The sequence below is a fragment of the Homo sapiens genome, chromosome 2, assembly GCF_000001405.40.
Source record: "Homo sapiens chromosome 2, GRCh38.p14 Primary Assembly".
Taxonomy (NCBI): Eukaryota; Metazoa; Chordata; class Mammalia; order Primates; family Hominidae; genus Homo; species Homo sapiens.
In genome coordinates this window covers 74,094,198-74,122,136 of record NC_000002.12, presented here as the reverse complement: position 1 = coordinate 74,122,136, position 27,939 = coordinate 74,094,198, and the positions used below count along the sequence as shown (strand labels likewise).

At 45.8% G+C, this 27,939-nt stretch overlaps 1 protein-coding gene and 1 pseudogene across 15 annotated transcripts in view, besides 2 other annotated features; both read right to left on the bottom strand.

Moving 5' to 3' along the window:
• Positions 1-27,939, bottom strand: part of TET3 (tet methylcytosine dioxygenase 3) — a 151,868-nt gene that overhangs the window by 13,362 nt on the left and 110,567 nt on the right. For 13 of the 15 annotated variants that reach the window (XM_011532683.3, XM_047443659.1, XM_017003566.2 and 10 more), the window contains 2 exons: positions 22,525-22,861; positions 13,961-21,744 (listed from right to left, as the gene is read on the bottom strand). The exons of the other annotated variants lie outside the window; for them this stretch is intronic. In XM_011532683.3, the coding sequence (XP_011530985.1) occupies positions 19,961-21,744; positions 22,525-22,861 (2,121 nt within the window). In that variant the 3' untranslated portion in view covers positions 13,961-19,960. Of the gene's footprint in view, positions 1-13,960; positions 21,745-22,524; positions 22,862-27,939 lie in introns of those variants that run through there. 15 annotated transcript variants of the gene reach the window in all.
• FNBP1P1 (formin binding protein 1 pseudogene 1) lies at positions 321-1,618 on the bottom strand (annotated as a pseudogene).
• Positions 1,508-1,867: an enhancer, noted in NCBI's record as "active region_16045". NCBI's record gives its function as "activates an Ori minimal core promoter by ATAC-STARR-seq in GM12878 lymphoblastoid cells {active_cell/tissue: GM12878}" and the evidence as "EXISTENCE:reporter gene assay evidence [ECO:0000049][PMID:35858748]".
• Positions 22,188-22,687: an enhancer, noted in NCBI's record as "H3K4me1 hESC enhancer chr2:74326577-74327076 (GRCh37/hg19 assembly coordinates)". NCBI's record gives its function as "activates a minimal SCP1, AML or CMV promoter by ChIP-STARR-seq in primed H9 embryonic stem cells {active_cell/tissue: H9 hESC(primed)}" and the evidence as "EXISTENCE:reporter gene assay evidence [ECO:0000049][PMID:30033119]".

The window sequence follows — 27,939 nt, the reverse complement described above, 5'->3', positions numbered from 1 at the left end:
GTTATGCCATTTCTTTGATCCATCTCCATCTGTATTTATTTCATTGACTTTCTCTTGTAGTTTTTTCCTTTTCAGTTGAGGTGGAAGACTGCCAACATCCTCTGGGGTTACACCCCTTACACTACAGACTTTTTTCTTTGAGATGGAGTCTCACTCTGTCACCCAGGTTGGAGTGCAGTGGCATGATCTCAGCTTACTGCAACCTCCACCTCCCAGGTCCAAGCGATTCTCCCATCTCAGCCTCCCAAGTAGCTGGGATTACAGGTGTGCACCACCACATCTGGTTAATTTTTGTATTTTTGGTAGAGATGGGGTTTCACCATGTTGTCCAGGCTGGTCTGAAACTCCTGACCTCGACTGATCCACCTGCCTCAGACTCCCAATATGCTGGGATGATTACTGGTGTGAACCACTGTGCCCAGCCTACATTATAGACTTTTGAAGCAGCCAATATTGGGTTTGATAACGAGCTCATTAAACCAATCAGTTCCTTTTGCTGCTTTGGAGCTTTATTTATACATTTTTATGAACAGCCAGAAGTTTCCTTTCAATTTGCCACCACAGCTGACCCTGGTTTGCCTTCTCCTCAGAAATCTGAAAGACTATTATCAAGCACCTTATTGGCAGAGTGTAGTCCTCAGATGTCTCCAGGAGGCTCACACTCTGACTTGAAAGTTTTTATTACCAGCTGTGACATTTTTCTGATCATTGATTCAGTTGCCTTTACTATTCTCTCCAAGCATCTCCTATTGATTGCTATCACCTGTTGCCCAATCGCTACATATGTCTTCACTGATTCTCTCATTCTCACTATCCTCTTTCCCTCTATCTCTTGTATTTTCTGGAAGTTGTTGGAACTATTAGGATGGTAAAATTCCTGCAGCTCAGTGTCAAATTTCTTGAATTGATGAGTAATTCAATTCTCATTGAGTAGTCTGCCGTCTTCTGCCATTGGTGATGTTTTCGCAGCTTGGTGGTGTGCCTTTTTCAACATCGACTTTTAAAAACGTGTTTTTAAAACATATGGCATTTTCTCAAAATACTGATGTGCTCAGCAGCCTTTTTATAATCTCAATTGTCTTTTACTTGCCTCAAGTTGCTTCCATCAAGTCTCTGTCGGTGGTTGTGCCTTCTGGGCATCATGAAAGTGAGATTTCCTCTCCTGCTTTTGGTTTTGAACATGCCCTTGTAACTCCACGGTGATCTGAAAGTTCAAGACCTCAAAGAAGATAACTTAATGCTGCCTAGCGTGATCACTCATTTTGTTCACAGGGAGGGAAGGAGAGTTTTACGTAATGTATTCTTTCTCCTTCCAGTTCCTTTTAGGTTGGCATGTCTTTAAAAGATTCCTGAGTTGTTTTGTATAGCTGAGTTCAATCTCAGTCCTTTCCTTGGCAGATATGATGAATTTCTCAAGACTATCGATTTTCTAAGTTGTCAAACTGATCCCAGAGTTCTGGGTCCAGGCAGGCAAGTGGGTCCCACTCGGCCACGCCCTTGCCTCCTGAGCTCCTAGTGGCCGCCGCCCCGCTCCTTGGGCTCCTCAGCCGCTCCTCCTTCCGGTCCCTCCTCAACAAGATGGCCGGAAGAACCCGCGACGACGCCTGCAGGGCCGCCTGCCTTGGGTACTTGAACGTGTGAATAACCGGCCATTCGCGACTCCAGCGGCCCAGGCACACGTTCCCCCCGGGTAGGTGTGTGGAGCGGCCGGGGCGTAGCCACGGCACCAGCCCAGGAGGGAAAGACGGAGAGGTACGGACGTCGCCCGCCATCTCTCCGGAAGCTCCTGCCGGGCTGGGACCCCGGCGGAAAGTCTTGCCGAGAGGTCGCCCCCTGCCGCCGTGGAGGCCGTCGGCCAGAGCGACCGGAGGCGGAGTTTGCAGCCTGGCAAGGAGAATGGAGCGCTCCGGGGTTGGGCGGGCGGGGGAGCCGGGAGCCGGGCGCCTAGAATGGAGTTCCCCCGGGAGGAGCCCGAAGCAGCGTCCTTCCGGGAGCACCCAGGGAAGAACCTGGAGGTCCAACCTGTGGGCTCTTAAGAGAAGGGAGGCGGCCTATCGAAAGTCCTAGAGGCCCGAGGTAACAGGGCTTCAGGGGCCACTAGTACGTCTTTCCTGCTGACACCTCAGGCCTGTAACAGAAAACAGAAGCACCCAAGGAATGTCAAAAGGCCACAGGAATAAGTTTGAAGGGGCTGCCGTTGGTTGAATTTTGTATAATTTGACAAGTATTTAAAACATTCAATTAAAAAGAATCCATGGGTTCATATTACCACAACTACTACACTAATATTAATATAAAAGGAGAGAGAAGTAAAGATGCTTTTTCAAAACAGTAGAATGACAACCAATAAATATAGGAATTATAAAATTGGAAATCCACCATTTTGCAGCAATCGTGGTAATAATTGATTCAGCCAAGAATCACCAGTGGAAGCTGAAACTATTAGGTGAAAGACTGGGAATAGGTTATTCACACAGTCTTAAAGTAACACCTCCTGGATTACTTATTAATTATAAAGGGGAAATTTTTCAGGCAATGGAGACATTTGCTGGACATTGCCTTAGCCAAAAGTCAAACTTAGCATTTCCAGTAATAGGACAAACTGAGACTGTGTGCCTCCTGGTGTGAGGAACAGGAAGAACACACATCATCTGGGTAGTATTTCTAATAGGCTCAACCTGATTAATGAAGAAACAATCAGACAAATCAAAATTGAGGAACATTCTGCAAAGCAATTGACTTGAGTTCTTAAAAGATGGCAATATCTTTTTTTTTTTTTTTTTTGAGATAGAGTCTCACTCTGTCTCCCAGGCTGAAGTGCAGTGGTGCGATCTCGGCTCACTGCAACCTCCGCCTCCCCGGTTCAAGCAATTCTCCTGCCTCAGCCTCCGAAGTATCTGGGATTACAGGCACGTGACACCATACCCAGCTAATTTTTGGATTTTTAGTAGAGCCAGGGTTTCACTATGTTGGCCAGGGTGGTCTCAAACTCCTGACCTCAAGTGATCCCGCCTCAGCCTCCCAAAGTGCTGGGATTACAGGCGTGAGCCACCGCACCCAGCCAAAAGTTGGCAATATTGTGAAAGAACAAAGTGATAGGGCAGCAGTCTGCAGATCAAAGAAGGGTCAAGAAACTACAACTTACATGCATGGTGTGATTCTGGACTGGATCTTGGTTTGAGTCTTGGTTTAGGAGGAAAACACAATTATAAGAGACATTATTGCAAAAGTTGGATAAATTTGAATATGAACTCAATATTAGATAATATATCAGTTTCCTGGGTGCAATAATTTTATGTAGTTATGAAGGAGAATGACTGTTCTTAGGACATACAGACAAAAGTATTTACAGGAGAAGTGTCTTGATGTCTGCAACAAATTCCCAAATGGTTCATATATATGTGTTATATATATGTTTATATATATGTAAATGTAAATATATGTGTGTGTGTATGTGTATTCAGAGAGAAAAGCAAATACAATGTGACTTTTGAACAATGTCAGTTAAGCATTCTGACTAACCCACATATACATTTTGACTCCCCAAAAACTTTACTAATAGGCTACTGTTGACCAGAAGCCTTACTGATAATATAGTTATTTTGTATGTTATATGTATTATATACTGTATTCTTACAATAAAGTAAGCCAGAGAAAAGAAAATATTAAGAAAATCGTAATGAAAATACATTTACAGTACCGTACTGTGCTTACTGATACTGTAAGTTTCAATTGTCTTTTTAAGATGAATCGTCTGTCTGAAATGGTGGGCAACTGCAGCTGCAGACCTCAATCCATGGTACATATCAAGCAATTCAACTTGTTCTTGTAATGTCATGACTTGACTTTGCTTCTCGGGAGCACTTCCACCATTACTAGAGGCACTACGTGTGGGTGCCATGGTGTTATTCAAGATTTACAGCGTTGTGCTAAACACAATGAAAGACACGTGAAAACCACAAGAGATCACTTTTTACTATAGTATGCAATTTACTGGTGATAGTATCTGCTCTCGTGGAGATGATTAGCGTCACAGGTGTTTAAAGCAGGTACTTGGTTTTTATCAATTTTAATTTTTTATAATAGATTTGTGGGTCGGGTGCAGTGGCTCATGCCTGTAATCCCAGCACTTTGGGAGACTGAGGTGGGTGGATCACGAGGTCAGGAGTTCGAGACCAGCCTGGCCAACATGGTGAAACCCCGTCACTACTAAAAATACAAAAATTAGCTGGGTGTGGTGGTGGGTGCCTGTAATCCCAGCTACTCAGGAGGCTGAGGCAGGAGAATCATTTGAATCCGGGAGGCAGAGGTTGCAGTGAGCCAAGATTGTGTCATTGCGTTCCAGCCTGGGCGACAGGGCATGACTCCGTTATAAAAAAATATATATAATAGATTTTGTGTATTTTATGGTAGAACATGATAAAATAGACTAATATCTACCTGTATTTTATGCATTCTTGACAAACCAGTGTTGCTCAAGGGACAACTGTATGACAAAAATGCTAAAAAATGGTGAATCTAGGTGAAGAGTATGTGGGTGCTCATTGTACCATTTGTGCAAATTTTCTATAAATTTGACATTTTTTAGGATCAAAAGGTCTGTAATCCCATGCATGCCTGTGGTCCCAGGTACTCAGGAGGTTGAGGGAGGAGGATCACTTGAGCCTCACAGGAGGCAGAGGCTGCAGTGAGTCAAGATCGCACCACTGCACTCCAGCCTGGGAGAAAGTAAGACCTTGTCTTTAAAAAATAATAAAATAGGCCGGGCATGGTGGCTCATGCCTGTAATTCCAGCACTTTGGGAGGCTGAAGCAGGTGGATCACCTGAGGTCAGGAGTTCAAGGCCAGCCTGGCTAAAATGGTGAAACCCCATCTCTACTAAAAATACAAAAATTAGCCAGGCATGGTGGCACATACCTGTAATCCCAGCTACTTGGGAGCCCGAGGCAGTAGAATTGCTTGAACCCAGGAGGTGGAGGTTACAATTCAAAAACAAATCCTGATTTATCTCTTTACCTTCAAAACACAAGCACAATCTGACCCCTTCTTACCACCTCTTCTGCTCCCAATCAGAGTTCCCACTGGGTTCTTTCACATACCCCTTGCCCATCTCCCCGCTCCCCTCTCCCTTGCCCATTTGAGGTGCTTCCCTGAGTTCCCTGGTTGCTGCTCACCTCCCTCCTGGCTTCTCTTCCCTGCCAGCCCCTTAGTGTCTGAGTCCCCTTCTCCCTCCCTGGAGTGTCTCATGCACAGCTGGGGCTTTGCTCACCATGGACTGCTGACAGCTCCCCTAGCCGCACCCAAAGTGCTGGGATTACAGGCACGAGCCACCACACCTGGCAAGATGCTCTTTTTAATCTTTTTGTTTGTTCTTTTAATTTTTTTAAATTGACAAATAATAATTGTACATATTCATGGGGTACACAGTGTTTTTTTTTTTTTTTTTTAACTTGGGATGGAGTCTCACTCTGCTGCTCAGGCTGGAGTGAAGTGGCGCTATCTGGGCTCACTGCAACCTCCACCTCCTGGGTTCAAGCAATTCTCGTGCCTCAGCCTGCCGAGTAGCTGGGACTACAGGCACACACACACACCACCACACCCAGCTAATTTTTTGCATTTTTAGTAGAGCTGGGATTTCACCATGTTGGCTGGTCTTGAACTCCTGACCTCAGGTAATCTGCCTGCCTTGGCCTCCCAAAGTGCTGGGATTACAGGCATGAGCCACCGTGCCCTCCCAGATATCTCTTTGATATAATGATTTCCTTTCCTGGGGATAAATGCCCAGTAGTGGGATTGCTGGATCACATGGGAGTTCGATTTGTACTTTTTGAGGAACCTCCTTACTGTTTTCCATAGTGGCTGAACTAGGTTTACATTCCCACCAACATTGTATAAGAGTTCCCTTTTCTCTGCATCCTCACCAGCATTTATTTTTTGTCTTTTTGTTAATAGCTATCCTGAGATGACATGATATCTCAGTGTGGTTTTGATATACATTTCCCTGATGATTAGTGATGTTGGGCATTTTTTCATATATTTGTTGGCCATTTGTATGTCTTCTTTTGAGAAATGTCTGTTCGGATTATTCCCCCGCCACCCCCTCCAGCCTTTTTTTTTTTTTTTTGAGACCAGATCTCAGTGTCGCCCAGGCTGGAGTGCAGTGGTGCAATCACATCTCACTGTAGCCGTGTCCTCCAGGGCTTAACCAGTCCTCCCACCTCTGCCTCCTAAGTAGCTGATACCACAGGCATGTGCCACCATGCGAGGCTAATTTTTTGTATTTTTTGTAGAGAAAGGGTTTTGCCATGTTGCCCAGGCTGGTCTTGAACTCCTGGGCTGAAGCAGTCTGCCCACCTTGACCTCCCAAAATGCTGAGATTATAGGTGTCAGCCACTGCACCTGGCTCATTTGCACATTTTTTTGTTTGCTTATCTATTTATTTTTAATTTATAGAAGCAAATGCACCTTTAACATGTTCCATTGAATCATCTTCAACATTAAATTTTTCTCTCAACTAGGCCTCTTTCTTTTTTTAGCTCTATCCAAATTAACAAAATTTTAAATATTTCAACAGTTTTAGGGGTACAGTGGTTTTTGGTTACATGGATGAATCATACAGTGGTGAAGTCTGGGCTTCTGGCGTACCTGTTCACCCGAATAGTCTACATTGTCCCCAATAGGTAATTTTTCATTCCGTGTCGTCTCCCATCCTCCCCGCTTCTTGGTCTCTAATGTCCGTTATACCTCTCTATATTCCTTTTTATCCCGTGGCTTAGCTCCTGCTTATAAGTGAGAACATGTGGTATTTGGTTTTCTGTTCCTGAGAAACTTAGGATAATCATTTGCCCATTTTTAAATAGCATTGTTTCGTTTTTTTGCTGTTGAGATGTTTGAGTTCCTTGTATATTCTGGATATTCGTTCCCTATTGAATGAGTTGTTTGCAAATCCTTTCTCCCATTCTGTAGATTGCCTTTTTACTCTGCTGATTGTTTCAACTTTACTGTGCAGAAGCTTTTAGTATGATATAATCTCAGTTGCTTATTTTTGCTTTTTATTGCCTGTGCTTTTGAGGTCTTATTCATAAAATATTTTCCTAGACCAATGTCCTGAAGCATTTCCCCTGTGTTTTCTTCTAGTAGTTTTATTGTTTGGGGCCTTACATTTAGGTCTTTGGTCCATTTTGAGTTGATTTTTTGTATAGGGTGAGAAGTGGGATTCTAGTTTTCTTCTTCGCATATAGATAACCAGTTTTCCCAGCATCTTTTTTTTTTTTTTTTTTTTTGAGACAGAGTCTCTCTCTGTCACCCAGGCTGGAGTGCAGTGGTGTGATCTTAGCTCACTGCAATCTCCACCTCCTGGGTTCAAACGATTTTCCTGCCTCAGCCTCCTGAGTAGCTGGGATTACAGGCACCTGCCACCACACCCAGCCAATTTTTTGTATTTTCAGTAGAGACGGGGGTTTCACCATGTTGGCCAGGCTGGTCTTGAACTCCTGACCTCAAGTCATCTACCTGCCTCGGTCTCCCAGAGTGCTGGGATTACAGACGTGAGCCACCATGCCCAGCCTGCTTTTTTAACTTTTAAGAGATTTAATTTTATTGTGGTAAAATATACAGAACATAAAATTTATGATTTTAAGTGTACAATTCAATGGCATTAAGTGTATTCACATTGTTTATTTCAATAATTTTTGGCATACAGGTGGTTTTTGGTTACATGGATAAGTTCTTTAGTGGTGATTTCTGAGATTTTAGTGCACCTATCACCCAAGCTGTGTACACTGTACCCAATATGTAGTATTTTATCCCTTATCCTCCTTCCAGCCCTCCCCCCCGAGTCCCCAAGGTCCATTATATCACTTTTATGCCTTTCTGTCCTCATAGCTTAGCTCCCACTTATAAGCCAGCACCATTTGTTCAAAAGATTGTCCTTTCCCCAGTGAGTATTCTTGGCATCTTTGCCAACAATCAGTTGTCTGTAAGTATGTGGATTAGTTTCTGGGTTCTCTATTCTGTTCCATTAGTCTTTGTGTCTATTTTTATGCCAGTACCATGCTGTTTTGGTTATTACAGTTTTTTAGTATATTTTGAGGCCTGATAGTGTGATACCTCCAGATTTGTTCTTTTTGCTCAGGATTGCTTTGGCTATTTGAGGTCTCTTGTAGTTTCATACAAATTTTAGGATTTTTTTTTCTATTTCTGTGAAGAATGTCATTGGTATTTTGATAGGGATTGCATTAAATATGTAGCTTGCTTTGGGTAGTATTATTATGTTAATAATATGAATTTTTCCAAATCTGCGAGCATGGGATGTCTTTCCATTTGTTTGTATCCTCTTCAATATCTTTCATCAGTGTTTTGTAGTTTTCCTTGTAGACATCTTTCACCTCCTTGGTTAAATTTATTCTTAGGTATTTTATTTTATTTTTTGGTAGCTACTGTAAATGGGATTGCTTTCTTGATTTCTTTTTCAGCTAAGTTTGTTGTACATGTATGGAAATAACTGCTGATTTGTGTATGTAATTTTTTTTTTTATCCTGCAACTTTACTGAATTTATCAGTTTTAAGAGTTCTTTGGTAGAGTCTTTAGGTTTTTATATATATGTGATCCTGTCATCTACAAACAGGGACAATTTGACTTCCTCCTTTTCCATTTGGATGCCTTTTATTTCAAGTTCTTGCCTAATTGCTCTGGGTAGGACTTCTAGTACTACGTTGAATAAGAGTAATGAGAGTGGACATTCTTTTTTTTTGACGGAGTCTCACACTGTCACCCAGGCTGGAGTACAGTGGCGTGATCTCCGCTTACTGCAACCTCCACGTCCCGGGTTCAAGTGATTCTCCTGCCTCAGCCTCCCGAGTAGCTGGGATTAGAGGCATGTGCCACCATGCCCGGCTAATTTTTTGTATTTTTAGTAGAGACAGGGTTTCACCATGTTGGCCAGGCTGGTCTCGAACTACCTCGTGATCTGCCTGCCTCGGCCTCCCAAAGTGCTGGGATTATAGGTGTGAGCCACTGCGCCTGGCCATTCTTGTCTTGTTCCAGTTCTCAGAGGAAAAGCTTTCAGCTTTTCTCCATTCAGTAAGATGTTAACTGTGGGTTTTTTTTTTTTTTTTTTTTTTTTTTTTTGAGACGGAGTCTCACTCTGTAGCCCAGGCTGGAGTGCAGTGGTGAGATTTGCACTCACTGCAACTTCTGCCTCTCGGGTCCCATATCAAGCAGTTCTCCTGCCTCAGCCTCTCGAGTAGCTGGGATTACAGGAACGCACCACCTTGCCCAGCTAATTTTTGTATTTTTGGTAGAGACGGGCTTTCACCGTGTTGGCCAGGCTGGTCTTGAACTTCTGACCTCATGATCCATCCACCTCAGCCTCCCAAAGTGCTGGAATTATAGGCGTGAGCCACTGCACCCAGCCTGCTGTGGGTATTTTTAATCTTTTTGAAAGTAGATTGTAGTCACTGTCTAATCTCTTGTATTTCTTGCAAAGCACTCATTACTAGTCTTTGAGTTCTTAATATTTGTTTTTTAAAATAATTTTAAAAAATTTTATACCCTTAGATCTGCATATTGTTTTTTATGTAGTAAAACTTTTTATTTGGCTTTAGATAACTTGGTTAACTTGGTTTCCTGTTTATTTACTTCCTTGAGTATAATTTTGCTGATGTTTTGGTTCTTATTGATAATTTTCTTTATTTGGAGCGGTTTTATAGTTTATGTAAATGTTTTAATGGATTTCAAAAGGAGTTAGTTTCTTACAGATACTTTAAAAGCAAATAAGTAAATAAAAGGAGTGGGTTCTTGGTGGTATTACTGGCATTACCATCAGAAGACCCTTCATATTTGAGAGGCCACATGGGGAGGTGCACCAAGGAGATAATCAGATAAAAGACACCAAATGGCCTGCAGTGTTACTAAAGATGCAAGCTGGGGCCAAGTCCTGTGGGGCCCTGCGGCAAAGTTAAAATGTGTCTTATCCTGAGAGCTGTATCAAATGGGGAGTATCGAGGAGTATTACAGGGAAATAGTATCATCTGATTTGGTTTTTAGAAAGATTATCTGAGTAAGGAGATTGGCTTTGGTAAGCTGGGCAGGGAGATCAAATGGGGGCTAGAATTGAAGTCTTTCAAATAACAATACCTGTTGAAGATGCTCTGAAGAGCCAAAGTCTTCCTGTGGAGCCACTTTGTTGCAACCTGTGCCTCTTGTGCCCATAGACCCACAGACTCAGGTCATGCCCTAAGCTTTAGGTAGGTAGATTCCCACCAGTGAGGACAATGTCCCTTGGGTTTGTGGGTCTTAAGGTACAGAAGAAACAGGGGTATATTTGGATAGGGCACAAACTTTGGCACCAAATACACCTGGGTTGATTCTGGGCTCTGCCATTTCCTAGCTGGATGGTCTTGAGCAAGCCATTCAACCTTTCTGAAGGGTCTCACATTTAGACCAAGATATGAGAGGCCTCTGCCCTGGGTCCCCAGCTTTAGAGGGCTATACTGTGGTCCTTGTCCAACATGCCTCTGTCCATATCAGGGAGGAGTCCATATCTGTAATTAAGGCTTACACATGGTAGTCTGTATGAATGGTGTTCCCCAGAGTTGTGCAGTGCATAGCCTGTATGACTGTACAATGTGGGTTGCTAATAAAAGTAGCAAAGAGAAGCAGGATTGAGAATGCTGAGGATGTAGAATCTAGACTTGGCAGGTGTCAGGATATGACTGGGAGAATAGGAAATTTGGTGGAGAGTTGAGAGGTCAGTTTTGGTTAAGACTTTGACCTTACCAAAGAGCCACCCAGAGCTATCCAGCAGCCCAAACTCATGAGGCTAGACATGGCTTTGGAAATCATTGGCATTAGGGTCATAGTTGAGGCCTGGTGGCTGAACAAGTCCTTTGAAGGAAAGCTTATAGTCTGTGGAGAAGACTGAGTCGATTCTTTTGGGGGCATTTGTGTTTAAAGGACAAGAGGTCACAAAGGGGCTCATGAAAGGGGGCAGGGTCCTGGGACAATGGAATGTTCCTGGCTATGCAGTCCGGGAGCAGAGGGTTTCCAGGGCTTCACAGAGGTCAGTGAGGATGAGGATCCCTGGCTCAGAAGCTGACTATTTCTGGAGAAATAAAGGTACAGGTGAGTGAGTGGTATGGACCTTCAAGCTAGGAGGTTGTCTACACCTGCAGATATGTGGTGGTGATAGGAAGGAGTGGGAAAGGTCTATGAGGCACAGCAGGGTCAGGCTGGGGTGAACCTGAGAGCACGTGATGGGGAGAAGCCACAGAAAAGGGTTAATGGATGAAGCATGTTCCACAGGAGCAGCACAGGGTGCACATGGAGAGTGAGAGTCAGGGGTACCGAGCAGCAGGGGTGTGTGTACAGTAAAGAGGACAAACATACAGGAAGATGGTTTGAAGTGTGGTGAGGGAAATTGGGCAGGCTCCCTGGGCCTGGGGTTGGGCTTCTCAGTAGAGGAAAGCAGGCCTCTGCTAAGACCTCTGGAGTGGGGATGAGGTGCTGGGGGGTATCTAGAATTTAACAAAGCTTTGTCTTTCACGTCTTCTATGTTGTGTTCATGGCTCTGACAAGAATGTACACTGGATTATGTGTGTCGAACATGTTTTTAGGGCTTCATGTCCCCTTGCAGGGACATGATGTATGTATGGATGCACCATCCCATGGACATGGGACGTTGAATGCCCATTATTTTCAGAGTACAATGGGAGACAAAGATGACTAACAGCTCTCCAAGCTTAAGAAGCTTACAAGAGCATCAGAACACACAACAAAGTTGCTGACCAAGTTGTGTAGCTGGGTTGGGTAAACCAATATTTGACAAAATTAAGATTCAAAATAGGCAGGGAGAGTGGGTTAAACAGTTCATTTAAGATGGCTACATTTCAACTGCTGTGTGAAGCATTAAAAAAAAAAATTGCACGCAGACTTGAGTTAGTGGACCTGATTTGGCAAAAGTTCACTGAAGAGGTCACTATGTGGTCCCAAGACTAGTCTTGGATTCCTTAGTGATCTAAAGCTTTGCATATGTCAAGAGTAATAATGATAGCTCTTATTACTTGCTATGTCCCGAATGCCTGGCACTTTCACTTCTGTAGCAATTTTTTTATCCTTATATCTTATGTGGTATCATTAGCCTGTCTTATTGACAAAATGACACAGGGAGATGAAACCCTCATCAAATCACACAATTGGGAAGTGAGGGATCTATGTTCTTTCCAAGCCACAAGCCGCTGCTTAAAAAGCTAATAAACCTTGGTGTACACTCATAAAAATAGTGTGTCCAGATCGTGGGGCTCCTTGGTGTCTTTGTGCTTGGCTTGCATGAGCCGGATCCCATCTGGAACAAATTGCTCATTTCTAGAGATCCCAATATGAATAATGATGCTCTAGGTGTGAACAGACGGGGGCACGGTGGGGAGTAGTGGTGGACAGGGCCTGGACCTGTTACAAGAAGGTTTATGGAATTAAGAATGTAGTCACGTGGCAGAGGGGAATTTACTGCAACGCTTCTCAGCGTAGAAAGAAATAGACTGAGTGGGATTTACATGGAGGCACATTTAGATTAGTTCAATTTATAATTGCAACAACTTGGGATGTTAAAGAGTTTGGTGATACAGGGATGATTAAATGCTTCTGTATCCATACTAAAAACATTGCTAGGCAACTATTTAAAAAGATGCTATTCTGCATACTGATAAAGATAGTTTAAGTGCAAAAAGATTACAAGATTGTATTATTGTATTCCATTTGAAAAAATACATATGGGTCGTATTTACACACTCAAAATGTTTGCAACCAATATGCGGTTCTCTCGTGGTGGGATTTCAGATAACTTTTAAGAACTTCTGTCTTCTAATTTTCTATATTTAACATGGAACTTGTATAAGAAGAGATGGCAGCATATTTATAGCTAACCAATAGTGAAACCAGCCCCAGCTGAAGGAGGAATGTCCTGGCCCTCCCTTCAGGCTCTGCAGATGGATCCATCATGACAGGCGCTCAGGAAGGGGACAGAACTAGGTCTCTTCCAACTCAAGGAGGAAAGCAGGTTACAAAACACAGTGTGACCCCACTTTTGTAAAACATATAAACATGTTTGAGGATCCCTGGATAGCCAGGTGTGCCAAGGCATTTCCAGTGGGTTCCTTTGCAAGCAAAGTAAAATGGAGATAAAAACCTCCAAGCCGATCACCTGGCACTCATTATGATCATGGTATTTTCACTCAGATGCCCTCAGAGATGAACTTTCCCACCTAGAGTGACTTGGGATGTTGGGATATTGCTGAAGTCCTTATCAACAGCTGGGCTGGTTGTCCCTCAAAGACACTGGATCAATTTCAGTCAGATGTTTCATGCAGGAGGAAGGAGGAAGAGCAAGCAGATTCACTATTCTCTCTCCTCCTTCCTCAATTCATATTCCCTTTTCAAGAACAGCCACCTCCAGAATTGGCAATTTGAATTAAAGAAGGTAGCTCCAGGCATGGGATCTTGCGGGAAACCTCTGCCGCTGGTCAGCAGAATCTCGGGTTCCGTATATTAGCCAATCCCTACTAGACTTGCTGTTCAAGCCATCCGAACCAAGCAGCATTTGGTGATCCTTTAGCAAACCTAACAAACATCAGAAGTTAATTTTAGTAGGAGGGAGGTATCTCCCAGTGGAAAGAAAAAAAAGGACAAAAAAACATAAAAGGGAAAGAAAACAAAAAGAGAAACATAGATGAGAAAAAGGCCATCTCTATTTTCTCCCTTTAGATCCCGTTTTAACAGCTGATAGCCTCTGAACATTCCTTTATCCAGGTGGCAGAATGGACAAGGCCAGGTTCCGCTGCTGCTATTAGTGAGGGCTTCATTTGTACATCTACAACATACGGTGGGTGGGTGAGGTTACAGGGTACCTGACACATCACATTCCAGTCCTGGTTCAAGAAGGGGAAAAAGAGAACCCACACTGAATTTGAGTGCAAAAAATAAATATAAAATTTATTAAAACACCCACAATATTTTAAAGATACCAGGAGTAATACAGTTCACAAACCCAGTTGTTTGTGTAAATTATAATAAAATACAAATCAAAAAGGATACATACTTGCAATTTCTAGGCACCCTAAATTAAATTTACTGAAACACTGAGGGAGAAGGGAGGGTAAGGAGGGGTAGCTCAGGAGGCAAACCAATAAAGTGGAAGGAAAAAATATTAACAAAAAGGTAAAAATTATACAAAATAAAATTATCAGCATAAATTTACTGTACTAAGAATATCTACAGTTTAATACACATCCTATTGCCTTGAGACATTGCAAAAATCTACCATTCATCCATCAACCCCAGATAAACTTCATTTCAAGTAGCCACAGTTTACAAAGTCAAGACGGAATATTCAAGTATGGTTGTTAAGTTCACCTCCATTGGAAGCCAAGTAACCAAACAGGAATTCAAAGAGATAAGAAATAAAACACATCAAAAAGCTACAGGGGTTCTAGATTAAGTCTAATGTATTAATATGCCATTATACGACCTGCCCTTGTTTCTTTAATTGGAATACATGAAAAAGAAATGACATCACTCCTGTTTTTCTCCCCTCTTTTCCCCTCAAAAGAAAAAAAAGGGTATTGAAACCAAGAAAATTTGGAATGTTCACATGAGCCAATTAGTTTCTTAATTTAAATCCCCGTGTGAAGAGTGATGAGTTACCCCTGAATGACGGGTAGTCAAAACGCGAAGAGGGAGCAAACAATACCACTACAAAAAGCATCCCTGATATCAGAATAGAAGCCAATGAGGAAGTAGGCCAAATCGCTCGCTGATTCTTAGGCAAAAAGCAACTTTAGACCTTGCATTTCTGTGCTGCGGTCTCTGCTCAGGGGAGAAGCCTATTGCTCTGCTCTTGCCTGCAGCTCTGCAGGAGGAAGGGCTGGGAGCACCAGAGGGGGCCGCCCCTCCCCCCGCACTCGCGGAGTGCACTCGCACTCTGTGCACCTGGATGTGGGACTGTGTAACTTATGTTGGGGGTATGCACCTCAAAAATGTTTTGGTCCAGGGTATGTTGAAGTTGGCCATGTACTACAGCAGAGGCAGCTGGCTAATAAAACTAGGTTTTGAGGGAGTCATTTCAAATGACAGCAACAATGACTGAGAAAGCTCAATGAGATGGGCATAGGAAATTCACATTTTATTCAAAAGCAAAACTTAAACATGAAATACAGCCAACTACGCTCCTTCCTTTCGGCGTTCCGCTATCTTAACTGCTGAAGAATGAAAAACAAAATGACCCCAGATTTTTCAAGGTCAAGTATGTCATCAGACGGACAACCTGCAGGTATCAGACCCTCATGGAATCTACTTTACTGAAGTTGTCATGATGTCCTGTTTTTGAGGTATTTAAAAAAATTATTGTGACAGTGGATGACACAAAATGGAGCTTCCTGGTGAGTTTTTAAAACATCAACTTCTGTGGACCCAAGAAGAAATTTAGGTTAGCACCAACTAAAAAGCAGCCTCAGTGGCATCGAGTGAGCAAAGAAAGCTCCTTCCTTTAGTCCGAACATAAGGGGTTACCAATGAGAGGCAGAAGCAACGCTGGGTCAGAGAATGAAGCCCCTGCCCACCATGGTCCCAGCCAGTGCCAGGGGAGGAAGGAGATCCATCTGGTCTCCCTTGGTGTGCCCTTGGGACTCCCAGAGATGTCTGCTTAGCACCCTGGGCTGCAGGAGAAAATCTGTCCCTGGCTATGAGAATGCCTATCATGCTAGGAGAGGCAGAAGTACCCAACTCCCCTTCCTCAAAAACAAAAACTCAAAAAACCCTTCGCCCTTTCTTTCACATCAAGCCTGAGAAGACAGGTGTGGAACCAAAAAGCACCTGCCAAGCCAGGCAGGCCCACTCCCGATCACAGAAAGGGAGATAGCTGCCTTCTCGACTTGCTTTGTTTGGCCACCAAGGGAAGAACAATACAACACAACACAACACTGCTCAGAGCAGATTATAGCACGGTAAACGGGTCTAAGACAGCACCAAAAGAGGGGAGGGAAAAAAAAAAGCCAAGAGACTGGAGCCCACCTTGTTTTTGGTTGGTTGTGGTTTCAGAACGTTGATAGCACCTCAGCAAGACAGGATCAGGGACAGTCACATTAAAACACCATAGCACCATTTTATTTAGACTATTTCAATTCATAAAAATGCTTCCTAGTCCATAAAACACACTTCAGTAACAAAAGGAAAGAGATACTGGTTGAGGCACGTCAGGGATATCATATAGTTTTCCACCAGCTTTGCCTTGGTTTGAGATCTCATGGTGATTAAACCTCTAGAAGCAAGTCTGGCTGGGTTTCTCTCAATGAAATTAGGTTATCATCGACTCATTGTCAACCGTCCTTGCACATCTACTGCTGTGTGGTACAAAGCAGTTAAGCTCTGCTACTTCTTTCCTTGCTTTAGCGCTTTAAAAATCCCTTGCTCTGCAAACTACTGTTCCCAAAAGAGGCTGGTGGAAGGACCAAGAGGGGGCGGTGGGGTATCATCTCTTTCCACGCACACCATCGTCACCTTGGTGAGAAGGCAAAGCAGTACCCATGAAGCCGGGGTGTGGGAAACATTGGCCCTGCTAAAAGCCAGACCCAAAACCAAAAACCGAAAGACCCCCAAATCCATGCAACACCTTTAGTCAAGATTTCTGATGGTCAGATGATGATTTCTTGAGCTAGCACCAGTTATTTTGTGAGAACCTGCTGCGAAGCGATTTTTATTTTAAAAATCTCGTAGCACAGAACTTTACAAGCACTTCCCTTGCACGCAACAGGCAGGGAAAACAAAACAGAGCAGAAAAGGAACCAAATGTTTGCACTGCACGTGGATGGTGTCCGTGGACAGGGCACACTGGGGAGATGACTAAGACGCCATCGATTTCCGTTGCTATAATATGACTCTTCGAACTTGGTCATGCTGTTAGGTTCTTTAGTTGCAATGGCTTTATTTTTCTTCTCATGATAAAAATGTCTGTTAATCATCTTTAGGACTTAAAAAATGATAGTGCCAGTAAAAAATAAAAATTTGATTTTTCTCTTTAAGAAAGCTTCAGCAGCAAGGGGGGGATAAAGAGCTGTGCATAGTTACTTTTTAAATATATGTCTAAAGCATGCTAATTTTAATGACTGAGATTTGAGGTAGGTTAGACATGTAGTGTACAAATCAGCATGGGCTTGAGCACGGCAACCACACCGCCTAACTCTGGAAACGCCATTCTGCGGGGAGTGGGGACATCCAATGGAGACTGCCTCTTGACTCACCTCTCAGCAGCCTATCTCCTACTGCAGAAACTGATGAACCAAGGCTGTTTGGGCTGGGGGACAGACGTCGCATGCTTTTAGCTTGTATTGGTTTCTCCTTTCATCTAATGGCTTTCCTACCAAAGGGTGATGAGGGGAAGAGTTTATTTAACATACATCAGGAAGATTCACACATGCCAAGTATCAGAATCACCTGGGTTACACTCGGGACCTTCCAAACCAACAGCCAACCTGGGGCTTCCACGGGTCATACAGACGGTCACATTCTCCAAATGTTTCGTAAAATATTGTATTTCTTGCTTAAGATCATTTAAAATGAAGTTTTCAAGGCACCCCCGCATCTACCTAAGCACGGAGTCAAATGAGACCTGCATAAAAGTACTGATGCGATAAGCAAAATAGCATTTAAAGGACCCAATTTTTCCTCAAAACTAGAAAATTAGCATGCTCATTAAAGACTCTGCTTCCTTTAGCTTGTCAAACTGAAGGTCAGAGGTTTTCCTATAAATCTGAGTTCTGAATAATTCTAAGTCCTGATAAGCTCTTGGGTATTTATTTCAAAAGCAATAATATTTCATTTTTTTGTCCTGTAAAATAAATGCAACTTTACAGAATATGGTAAAAGTGGAGGATAGACAAAGCACATTAAATATTCGGCTACTATTTACAATTTCTCCCACAATTACATGTTAAAACATACTTTTTTTTTCAAGTTGCTGTTTAAATCTAGGCAAAAGTGCTTAAAAAAATCTTTCACTATTTACAGTTAAAACCAGACCACATAAATGCTCAGGACATCTTACAACGACCCTCCGCCAGTGCTTCCAAACAGATACAGTAAACACCCAGCAGGCCGGTTCTCAGCTCTTACTCAAGGCACCCGGAAGCTCAGGAACTTGCCTATAGCGGTCATCTGATTGTTAAACATGATTCATGAAGACCCATATCTGAATACAACTGCTCAGTAAATACCTGTTCATCTCAGGGCTTGGTGGTCATCCACCGTGTGGCCACATTCCCCTCTGTGTGTCCTGATGAAGCCCCCCATTCACCACACACACATCCACATGGCTAGCATGAGATCATTTCTGCTAATATCACAAGAAAAACCAACACTCCAACAAAGTTTGACTTGGTGATGATGAGTGTTGCTCCCATCAGGCCCAACCTCTCTCGACAACGTCACAAAAATTAAGCACCACATTCTCATTTCAAAGAACCGAATGAATGCACCAGAATTTCAGAACAGCTATATTAAAGTGGATGAAGAGGGGAGAAAGGAAAAAAAGAAAATGATCAAATGGAGAAATGGCACCAATTAGGGAGGAAAATTATAGCAACCTGTTGAAAATGTTTGACTCTTGCACTTTAAAATTGTTAAGTGTAGGCCCCCGAACCCAATGACAGCATGGAGGAAGCAGGCTCAGGTGTGAGGCATGCACCATTGTCCAATGTGGAAATTCAGGGATCAGGATAGATGCATTAACTGTTGTTACACTGGTCTGCTGAGCTCCTGTAGGATGTGACCTGCCCAAGAGTCAAGAAAGTCCCAGCACAACACTACAGCACCAGGCTCCGCACAGCACCATGCACAGAGCACCACTGGCTTTTCACAGCTTGGGTTCAACTTCCTGTTTTTAAAGATACAGTAGCCCTTTTTCAGTATCAGCATAGACTTTGGGGGCATTTTTTAAAAAACTGCCACTAAGACAAATTCCTTCAGCTCAGCATGCATTGGCTTGGCAACATGGTGGGCACGGCCCCTAAGAACCTCGCACTCCAGCTCCAGCGTGAGGTGCTGCCTAGTGAACCATGACATCGTGTGACTCCATAAATAACGGACAGAGGATTCAGTGTGGAGACTAGCAAGCTTGAAGCCATCTACTTCCAACCTGGTTTCTGGGGAAAGCTATGCCAGCATCTCGTGGGGCTGGCCTGGGGTGCATCTGCCCTTCGACTCCAAGCCGGGGACTGGAAAAGGGACCCCAGATGGTTTTCTGCAGACTCTCCCATCCTATCAGAGAGGACAGAAGCTGTCCTGAGGCTCCCTTCCCCAAAGGGAAGGGGTGTATGTCGGGAGGGATGAACTGGGTGGCTACCGTCCGCGCTTGGCTCTCGAGGGGCAGATGGCTGAGGACCTCGCCAGCGCCCGAGGGGCTTGGCTCGCCAGACCCAGCGAGACTGGGCGGGGGAGCACTACTGGCCTTTCCTGCCCATCCTTTACCATTACTATTGTCGCTTTTAAAAAATCCAATAAATACACATTTTAAATGGAATTTAAAACTACTCCTTTGTGAAAGGATACTATAAACTTTCTTTCCATTATTGTGATATACAAGGATAGAGTTTTAAAAACAAAGAGAAAATAAAAATAAAAACCCCCCAGACAAGGGGGGGGGACAACTTGGAGATATAAATATTAAGATCACGGAAAAATCACCCGACAGCCGTAGTTTCTTCTTCAAAGTGCTGGGGAAGTGGGGGTAAGGGAGGGGCGGGTCAGTTCTGAGGTTTGGACCATAAATACATATATATGATATGCGCATCTATATATGTATATAGAGATAAAAAGACTTCTGCACCCCCAACCCGCCCCCAGGTATGAGGGCAAAAGCACCACAGAGACAGCTCGGGCCAGGCCCGACGCTGAGGTACGCTGGCTCCCTGGCACCTAGATCCAGCGGCTGTAGGGGCCAGTGACCTTCGTGTAGGCATAGGAGGACACGGTGACCGCCGAGTCTGTGGGCACAGCCAGTGCCTGCCGGGTGGGGACGACCCCCTTCTTCTCTTTCTGCTGGGGCTCAGCAACCACAGTGCCCCCCCACTTGCGCTTCTTCCCGTAGAGCTTGGCCTCCTGCTGGCCCAGGCCCAGCCGGGCAGCCTCCTCCTGCCGTGCCCGTGCCCTCTCCGCCAGCTGCTTCATCTTGGCTTCCCAGAGGGCCAGCCCGTGGTTGGGCTGGTTGAGGTTCTTGTGCTGGTAGAAGACCAGCGAGATGCGGGTGGGGTGGCAGCGGTTGGGCTTCTTAAGCGGCGTGGTGGCGTGCAGCTCCCGCCGGGCACACTCGATGAGGATGGAGCCGTGGGCTGGGGCCACGGCCACGCCGCCGATGTTCTCGTCCAGGAAGTTGTGTTCACTGTCCGACCACAGCTCCTCCTCTTCCTCCTCCGCACCACCACCGCCCTTCTCCTCCTTCACCGCTCCCTTGCTGGGGGGCTCCTCAGCCGGCCCCTCCTCCAGGCTGAAGGGGTCCCACAGCTTCTCCTCTGACTTCAGAGCCCCAAACAGCTTCTCGCTGGATCCCAGGGGCAGACCAAAGGACTGCCAGGCCCTGTCCAGCTGGCTGGCCCCTGCGGCTGGAATCCTGCCCTCCTCTCCTTTCATGGGGTTCCACAGCTTGTCTTGGAACCCAGGACTACCTTTCAGGGCCGAGTTGAAATCCCCTGCCCCCAGCGCCCACGGCTTCTCAGTCAGGCTGGGCCCAGCCAAGGCCGAGGTGCTGTTCCCAAACTTGCAGGGGCTCCACGGTTTGCCTCGCAGCCGTCCTCCAGAGTGGGAAGCTGCCTGCTGCCCCTCACCGGGGAACAGCCCCCACTGGCCATCTGTGAAGTGGGAAGGGGCCAGGCAGCTGGCCCCAAAGGAACTGAGCTTGTCAGGGACGATGGCAGGACTCTCCCCAGACGAGAACACACCCCAGCTGCCACCCACACCGTTAGTCCTCTTGGGGGACATGCTTGGGCCTCCTGAGTACTGTCCCCAAAGGTGACTGGGTCCTCCATTCTGAGACACCTCGGACAGAGGTGTCTTGCCCATCTTGCCAGCGTCTCTGGGCACAGGCTCAGCCTGGGTCAGCGGGTCTACTGGCTCTTGCTTGATGGATCTGTTGTAGCAGTTGGAGCTCTGGGCAAAGGGGGAGGGGTCCCTGGACACTGAGTGGAGTAGGGGGGCCTTGGGAAGCAGATACTCCTTGGGGCCTGGGTACGCAGGCTGCTGGTGGTGAGGAGTGGGGTGGTGGGCGTCTGTGGGAACAGCCTGGCTGGGCAGCTCGGCAAACTCAGCACCACCGTAGGCCGGGCTCAGGCTGTTGTGCAGAGCGTGGAGGTCTGGCTTCTTCTCAAAACTGCCACTGCTGCCACTGTGCCCCCAGGCACCAGGACCCAGGAACTGAGAGGGGAAGACGGGGTTGCTGGATGGAAAGCCATAGTAGCTAAAAGACGGGAGAGCGTACTTGGAGTGGAAGCCATTGACGGAGGTCAGGCTGGGCTGTGCATAGTAGGAGTGGTAGGAGTACACGCTGTTCATGCTGTAAGGGTCGGAGGGCCGGCAGTTGCCCAGCACCGAGTAGCTCTCCACCACCGCGTTGCCGCTGTACTTGAAGGAGCTGAAGTGGTTCTGCGGCTCCACCTTGAGGGAGGGCTTCAGGCCTTGCTGGGACAATCCACCCTTCAGAGACAGGCCTGGGGAAACAGAAGGCAAGATGGCAGAGGGGCAGACAACACCACAGCCTGGAGAGGCCCTGGGTCGGGGACTGGGGATGGACCCTCCCTCTTTCCCAGGGATGTTTCCTCTTTTGGGACAGGCAGGTGAGGTGCTGAGGCATGTCCAGCCCAGAACGGGTCGTACTCCCTGGGCCCTGCTCAGCACAGGCCCCAGCCCCAGCCCCACTGGGGGTGGGAGGAGGCGATCCCTGCTGAGAAGCACCTCATGCGGGGTCCACAGTACCCCCACCGACTCCTCTCTTCACCCTAGAGAACTCCAGAAGTTGTACTGAACCACCACCACCCACTCTGTGCCCAGCCCAGTCGGGATCACTGCAGGGACCAGGGCCAGGAGAATGAGAACTCAGATGCCTGCCAGCAACCGTCTCCGCCCATAAGCCCTGCTGCCCTGGCACACACCCACATGTCCTGAAGTGCTGCTACTCACCTCAGTATCTCAGAGGGGAGCAAACTAGAGCTCAGAGGGGAGCCTCTGATTCTCTGAGGGATGCAAACTAGAGGAGAAACCCAGTGCTTCCCCTCTACCAAGCTCACTTCCACGCAGATAACAAGTCCTGCTGTACTTGCATCCCCACGGCCTCCTATCAGGCTGGCTGTGGCTGCTGCAGATACCCTTCTGACTGACAATTAAGCAGAGGCCCCAGTTCCAGTGTGATGCAGGAGGGTGCGTGGAAGAGCAGGGGCCCCCATGAGGACAGTGCCATTGTGACTCCAAGCGGGCACCCTCCCCCCACACACCTGGGTCCGACGTAATGCCCGCCAGCTCCAGGGCCTCCTGCTTGATCTTCTCCGGAGTGCTCAGCTTCTCCTTCTGAATCTTCTTCTTCTCGGCTGCTGCCTTTCTGGCTTCCAGCTGCCGCTGGCGGCAGGACTTGGCAGGCTCGGGCAGGCGTCGGACCTCGCGGGGGAAGGCGGTGAGCACCTGGATGGCTCCGCTGCCCACCTTTGCATTCTGGTTCTCCTCGCTACCAAACTCATCCGTGTTGGCCATCTTGTACAGGGGGAGAACATGCAGCTGCTCATCCTCGGGAATCTTGCCCACGCAGCGATTGTCTTCCTTGGTCAGGGTGCAGACCTGCCCCAAGCAGTGGGGGAGAGAGGACATGGGGTTGGGGGACCGAGTGCTGGGAGAGAGGGGTCTGAGCACCCAAAACACATGACCTCATCTTTCCCCACACAATCCCAATACCAGCCACTACTACTTCCAAGAGTTTGTGGAAAGCACATTGATCTTGGTTCACGGGGCAACAGTATCACCAGCATTTACAGTCCACTCATCAACTTTCAAGGCACATTATCTCCTATGATCCTAAGAAGGCTGAGAGGAGATGAGATACCTGGCAAGGGGCCTGGCCAGGACCTGGAGGCTTGCTCTGCCCTCTGGCATAGCACTGACGCCACAGCACCACGTTGCCCAGTGAAGCTCAGACCGTCCACCATTATCTTCCTTGTTCTAAACACTCAGCCTCCTTTTGCTCTTAAAATACGTTTCCTTTTGGGAGGCCAAGGCGGGTGGATCACCTGAGGTCAGGAGGTCGAGACTAGCCTGATCAATATGATGAAACCCTGTCTCTACCAAAAATATAAAAATTAGCCTGGCGTGGTGGCATGCGCCTGTAATCCCAGCTACTTGGGAGGCTGAGACAGGAGAATTGCTTGAACCCAGAGATGGAGGTTGCAGTGAGCCAAGATCATGCCACTACACTCCAGCCTGGGCAACAAGAGTGAAACTCCGTCTCAAAAAAAAAAAAAAAGAGTTTCCTTTTTATTATAAACTCTATGTGCTGATTATAGAAAATTTAGGCAAGCAAAAAGGAAACAAAATCTCCCATCCCACCACCCAGAAGTAATCACTTTAAATATCACGGTCACCTAATTGTGTACATACACAAGTACACAATTACTTTTTGCTAATTAAAGGGGGTATTATGCATATGGTCACATAATAGCTTCATTTTTTTCTTAACATAGTATAAATATTTTCCTGTGCATTAAATATTCTCCCCCAATATGATTAGAGCTGTGTAATATTATTCTACTGTATCAATGTGTTAATCTCATTATCAAATATTTCAACTTGTTTCCAATTTTTTTATACCATAAACAATACTTTTTGAAATACCCTTTTAGCTAAATTTTGTAAGATTCTTAATTCCTTAGAATGAATGTTAAGTAGAACTGCCACATACTGCCAGACTACCCTCAAAAATGATTCGGTTTTTCACTCATACCAGCAGAATGTGTTTCAACTTTCCTATATTTTTTCCACTAATTTCTTTAAAAACTTTTTGCTCACTGTTAAAATCGATCTCGTTGTTGGTGTACATTTCTCACAAGATTTGCTTTTTTATTCAAGTTTACTCTCTACTCTTGTGTTGACTATATTTTCTTATTTTCTATATTTTTGATGCTCTGGCATTTGGGGTCTTGATCCCAGAGAGGCTGCCCCTCCCAGGGCTACTTAATTCTCAGAGATAGCAAATGGCTCCCTGCGAGTGTGCCTCTGATATATGAACCAGCAAATCCAGAGCTCACACCCCCTCGCCATCTCCTTTATCAAACTCACACACCAAACCAATATTTCCCTGGCCTTAATAGAGGGCCGTGCACGAGGAACCACCCCATAGCTCAGAGCCTGCTAAAATATTCAAACTGTTCAATCCTAAACTTCCCCAGTGTAGCTACGCTGCATCACCCATTCTTCCCTGCAAAACCCCACTAAAGACTCTGGGCCATGCTCCCCACTCTTCCTCTTCTGCCTCCTGACTGGCCCGGTGCTCCCCTGAGTAGCCCCCGAGCATGACCTGCCCTCCTGTTTCTAGGATCTGAGTATAAAGTTCTTTCCTGACAATTATCCAGGTCTGCATGTCTTACCATATCCGATTAAAATCAATCCTTGGCCCATTTTAACACAATTCTCTCACTGTCTTCCTTCTTTTGCGAGTTTTATGACTTTTGCCCACTACTATATACGACTTGTCATTTTTTAAATCATGAAGTCATCTTTGCATATTAAAGTTATAATTTCTTTATCACGTTACAAATATTGTAGCAGTTGGAGCTCTGTGAATTATTAGTCATTGTTAGTGTTTAGATGACTACCCAGACATTTGAATGTATGTGTGTGTGTGTGTGTGTGTGTGTGTGTGTGTGTGCATGTATGGCTATATAAAACTACAAATCGGATTACATTATATATACATGCTATTCTGTGACCTGCTTTTCTTTTTTTTTTTTTCTTTTTCTTCTTTTTCTTTTTGAGATAAGGTCTTACTCTATTGCCCAGGCTGCAGTGCAGTGGTGTGACACGGCTCACTGCAGTCTCAACCTCCTGGGCTCAAGTGATCCTCCCATCTCAGCCTCCTGAGTAGCTGGGACTACAAGCATGCACAACCACGCCCAGCAAATTTTTGGTATTTTTTGTAGAGATAGGGTTTTGCCGTATTCCTCAGGCTGGTCTCAAACTCCTGGGCTCAAGTGAGCCTCCCACCTCAGCCTCCCAAAGTGCTGGCATTACAGGTGTGAGCCACCGTGCCCAGCCTGACCTGCTTTTCTTTCTTTCTTTCTTTCTTTTTTTTTTTTGAGACAGAGTTTTGCTCTTATTGCACAGGCTGGAGTGCAGTGGCGCCATCTCGGCTCACTGCAACCTCTGCCTCCCGGGTTCAAGCGATTCTCCTGCCTCAGCCTCCCCAGTAGCTGGGATTACAGGCGCCTGCCACCATGCTTAGCTAACTTTTTGTATTTTTAGAAGAAACGGGGTTTCACTATGTTGACCAGGCTGGTCACAAACTCCTGACCTCAGGTGATCCACCCATCTCAGCCTCCCAAAGTGCTGGGATTACAGGCGTGAGCCCCTGCGCCCGGCCTGACCTGCTTTTCTTAACTCAAGGATAACTCAAGGTATCCAGTTTGTATTGGCCTTTCAATTGTTATTATGGTGTTTTATTACGCTGAACAGAAAACTTATATTTTTATGGCACTAACTTTATTAACCCTTTCACTTAGAGGCACTCTGAGTTTGGTGTCATGCCCTACCCAGCTTGTTTCTTCCCAGACTATGTGTGGGTCTACGACTTCCTCTGCTCTGACCAGCCTCCTGTGTACTTTCTGGGTTGGACTGGCCAGCCCCAGCCCTGCTTCCTACCAGTCTGTCAGACTAATGCTATAAACAACAGACCAAAGGGAAAATCCAAAAGATAAGATGTGGCAGAAGCTGTATTTCCTACAAGAGATACTTTACAAATATCAAAAGGTAAGGGTAGCCTGATTAAAAAAATAAGTAAAGTACATAAATAGGATAGTCGCAAAGATGAAATTCAAATGTGTAAGAAGAAATAGGAAAAAATGTTCAACCTCTCTAGTAATAAACACAAATTAAAATAAGATCATATGTTTCCCACTCAGGCAGCAGGCAAAGATGAAAGAGACTGACAAAATCCAGTGTTGCCAAGTAAGTAGGAGAATTAGTGCCCCAAGCCTGTAAAAGTAAACATCAATGCAATCTCAAGCAGGTTACTGCGCCACTGCACAAATACGTGAGAAGAATGGCCTCTCCCTGTGGTTTACAGAAGGGAAATGTCTGAAAGCACTTACTGTCCATTGATAGGGGACTGGTTAAATAAATGATGGCAGAGCCATACATACAGCCTCGGAAAATGAAGTCCACTGACATAGAAAGCTTAAGAAAAGCAGGTCATAGAACAGCATGTATATATAATGTGACCCCATCTGGGTAAAATTTCATAAAGCCATTCGTGCATACATACACATTTGGGTGTCTGAATGGATGGTCATCAAACTGCTAACTGGTTATCTCTGAGATTTCAGGCAACCTTTTTAATATTATTTAAATTTTTAAAAAATGAGTCTTGTTTAGGAAAAAACAATACTTTTCATTTTGGAAGAAAATACTCCTTTTTTCAACCCCAAACTCTAGAAGCTCTGCGATCCAGATCACCTCATGGTGCTCTTGCTCTCGCCCACCTTCCAGGGCCCCCTGGGCTCCTTCGTCTCTCTAACACTGTGGGCATGCCCTTTCTGTGTATTTCACCTAGAAATCCTCACAACAGAGTGCCAGCAGGAGCTGCCCCTTCTTGCTTCTCAGTCTTGGATGCAGTGATAGAAAACAAGTGGAGAAATGAAATCCCGAGGTGGGTCCATCAATCCCCAGGGGGCATAAGCTACACTCGGAATCTGGGAGCCCTCTTTCCAGGCAGATGTGCTGGTGCCCTTGTCTCGTCCTCAGCCCCTGGAAGCCCTGTCTGCCCAGAACCTGGCTAAAAGGCAGAGCAGACAGCCAGCATCATCCCTTCAAGGAAGCCCCTAACCAAGTCCAAACTCCCTCTCTTCTCCATCTGCACTCACTCCCCTGCTGATGGCGTCGGCCTCACAGCTCTAACTATAAACCACGTGCTCTCCAGACCCTCCTTGCCCCCTGCCTACTCCACATCTCCACCTGCACGTCTAGCAGGCATCTTGAAACAGGACTCTTGATTTCTTACTCCTAAATTCAGCCTTCCCCTGTTACTTACATCTCGGTCCATGTTACCAACACTCACCCAGATGCTGAAGCAAAAAGCCTTGGAGTGCTCCTCAAGTCCTGCTCACATAACAATCCAGCCCATCTGCAAATCCTCTTGGCAGTCCCTTCCACATCATCCAAAATCTGTCCCATCAGCACCTCCCCCCACTCCTGCCCAAGCCGTGTCCCCTCTGGCCTGGATGGCTGCCCCAGCCTCCTCCTTCGCCTCCTTCCTCTTATTCCCTCCCGTTCACCTCACTCTGCCCCCACCATCACACACCTCATTCTCTAACTGCAGCAGCAGGAGTGCGTCTAACTTTACAATGCAAACTTACTGCTGCCCAGCTGAGAAGCCCTCAACAGCTTCCCATCACACTTAGAGCAAACCCCGCAACCCTCCCCTGGCCCTCAAGGCTCCCTGTGAGCTGGTCCCTGCAGGCCTCTCCAATCCCACTCTCCCTGCCCCTTGCAGTAAGTTACTCCCTTCCTGTTGTTCCCTGAACACACACCCAGCCTGCTCCCCGCTCGGAGCCTGCACACACGCTGGTCCCTCTGCCTGGAGCACTCTACCCCCAGATAGTGGCTCTCTCACTCTCTTGCGCCATTCACATCTCAACTTAAACGTCCCCTCC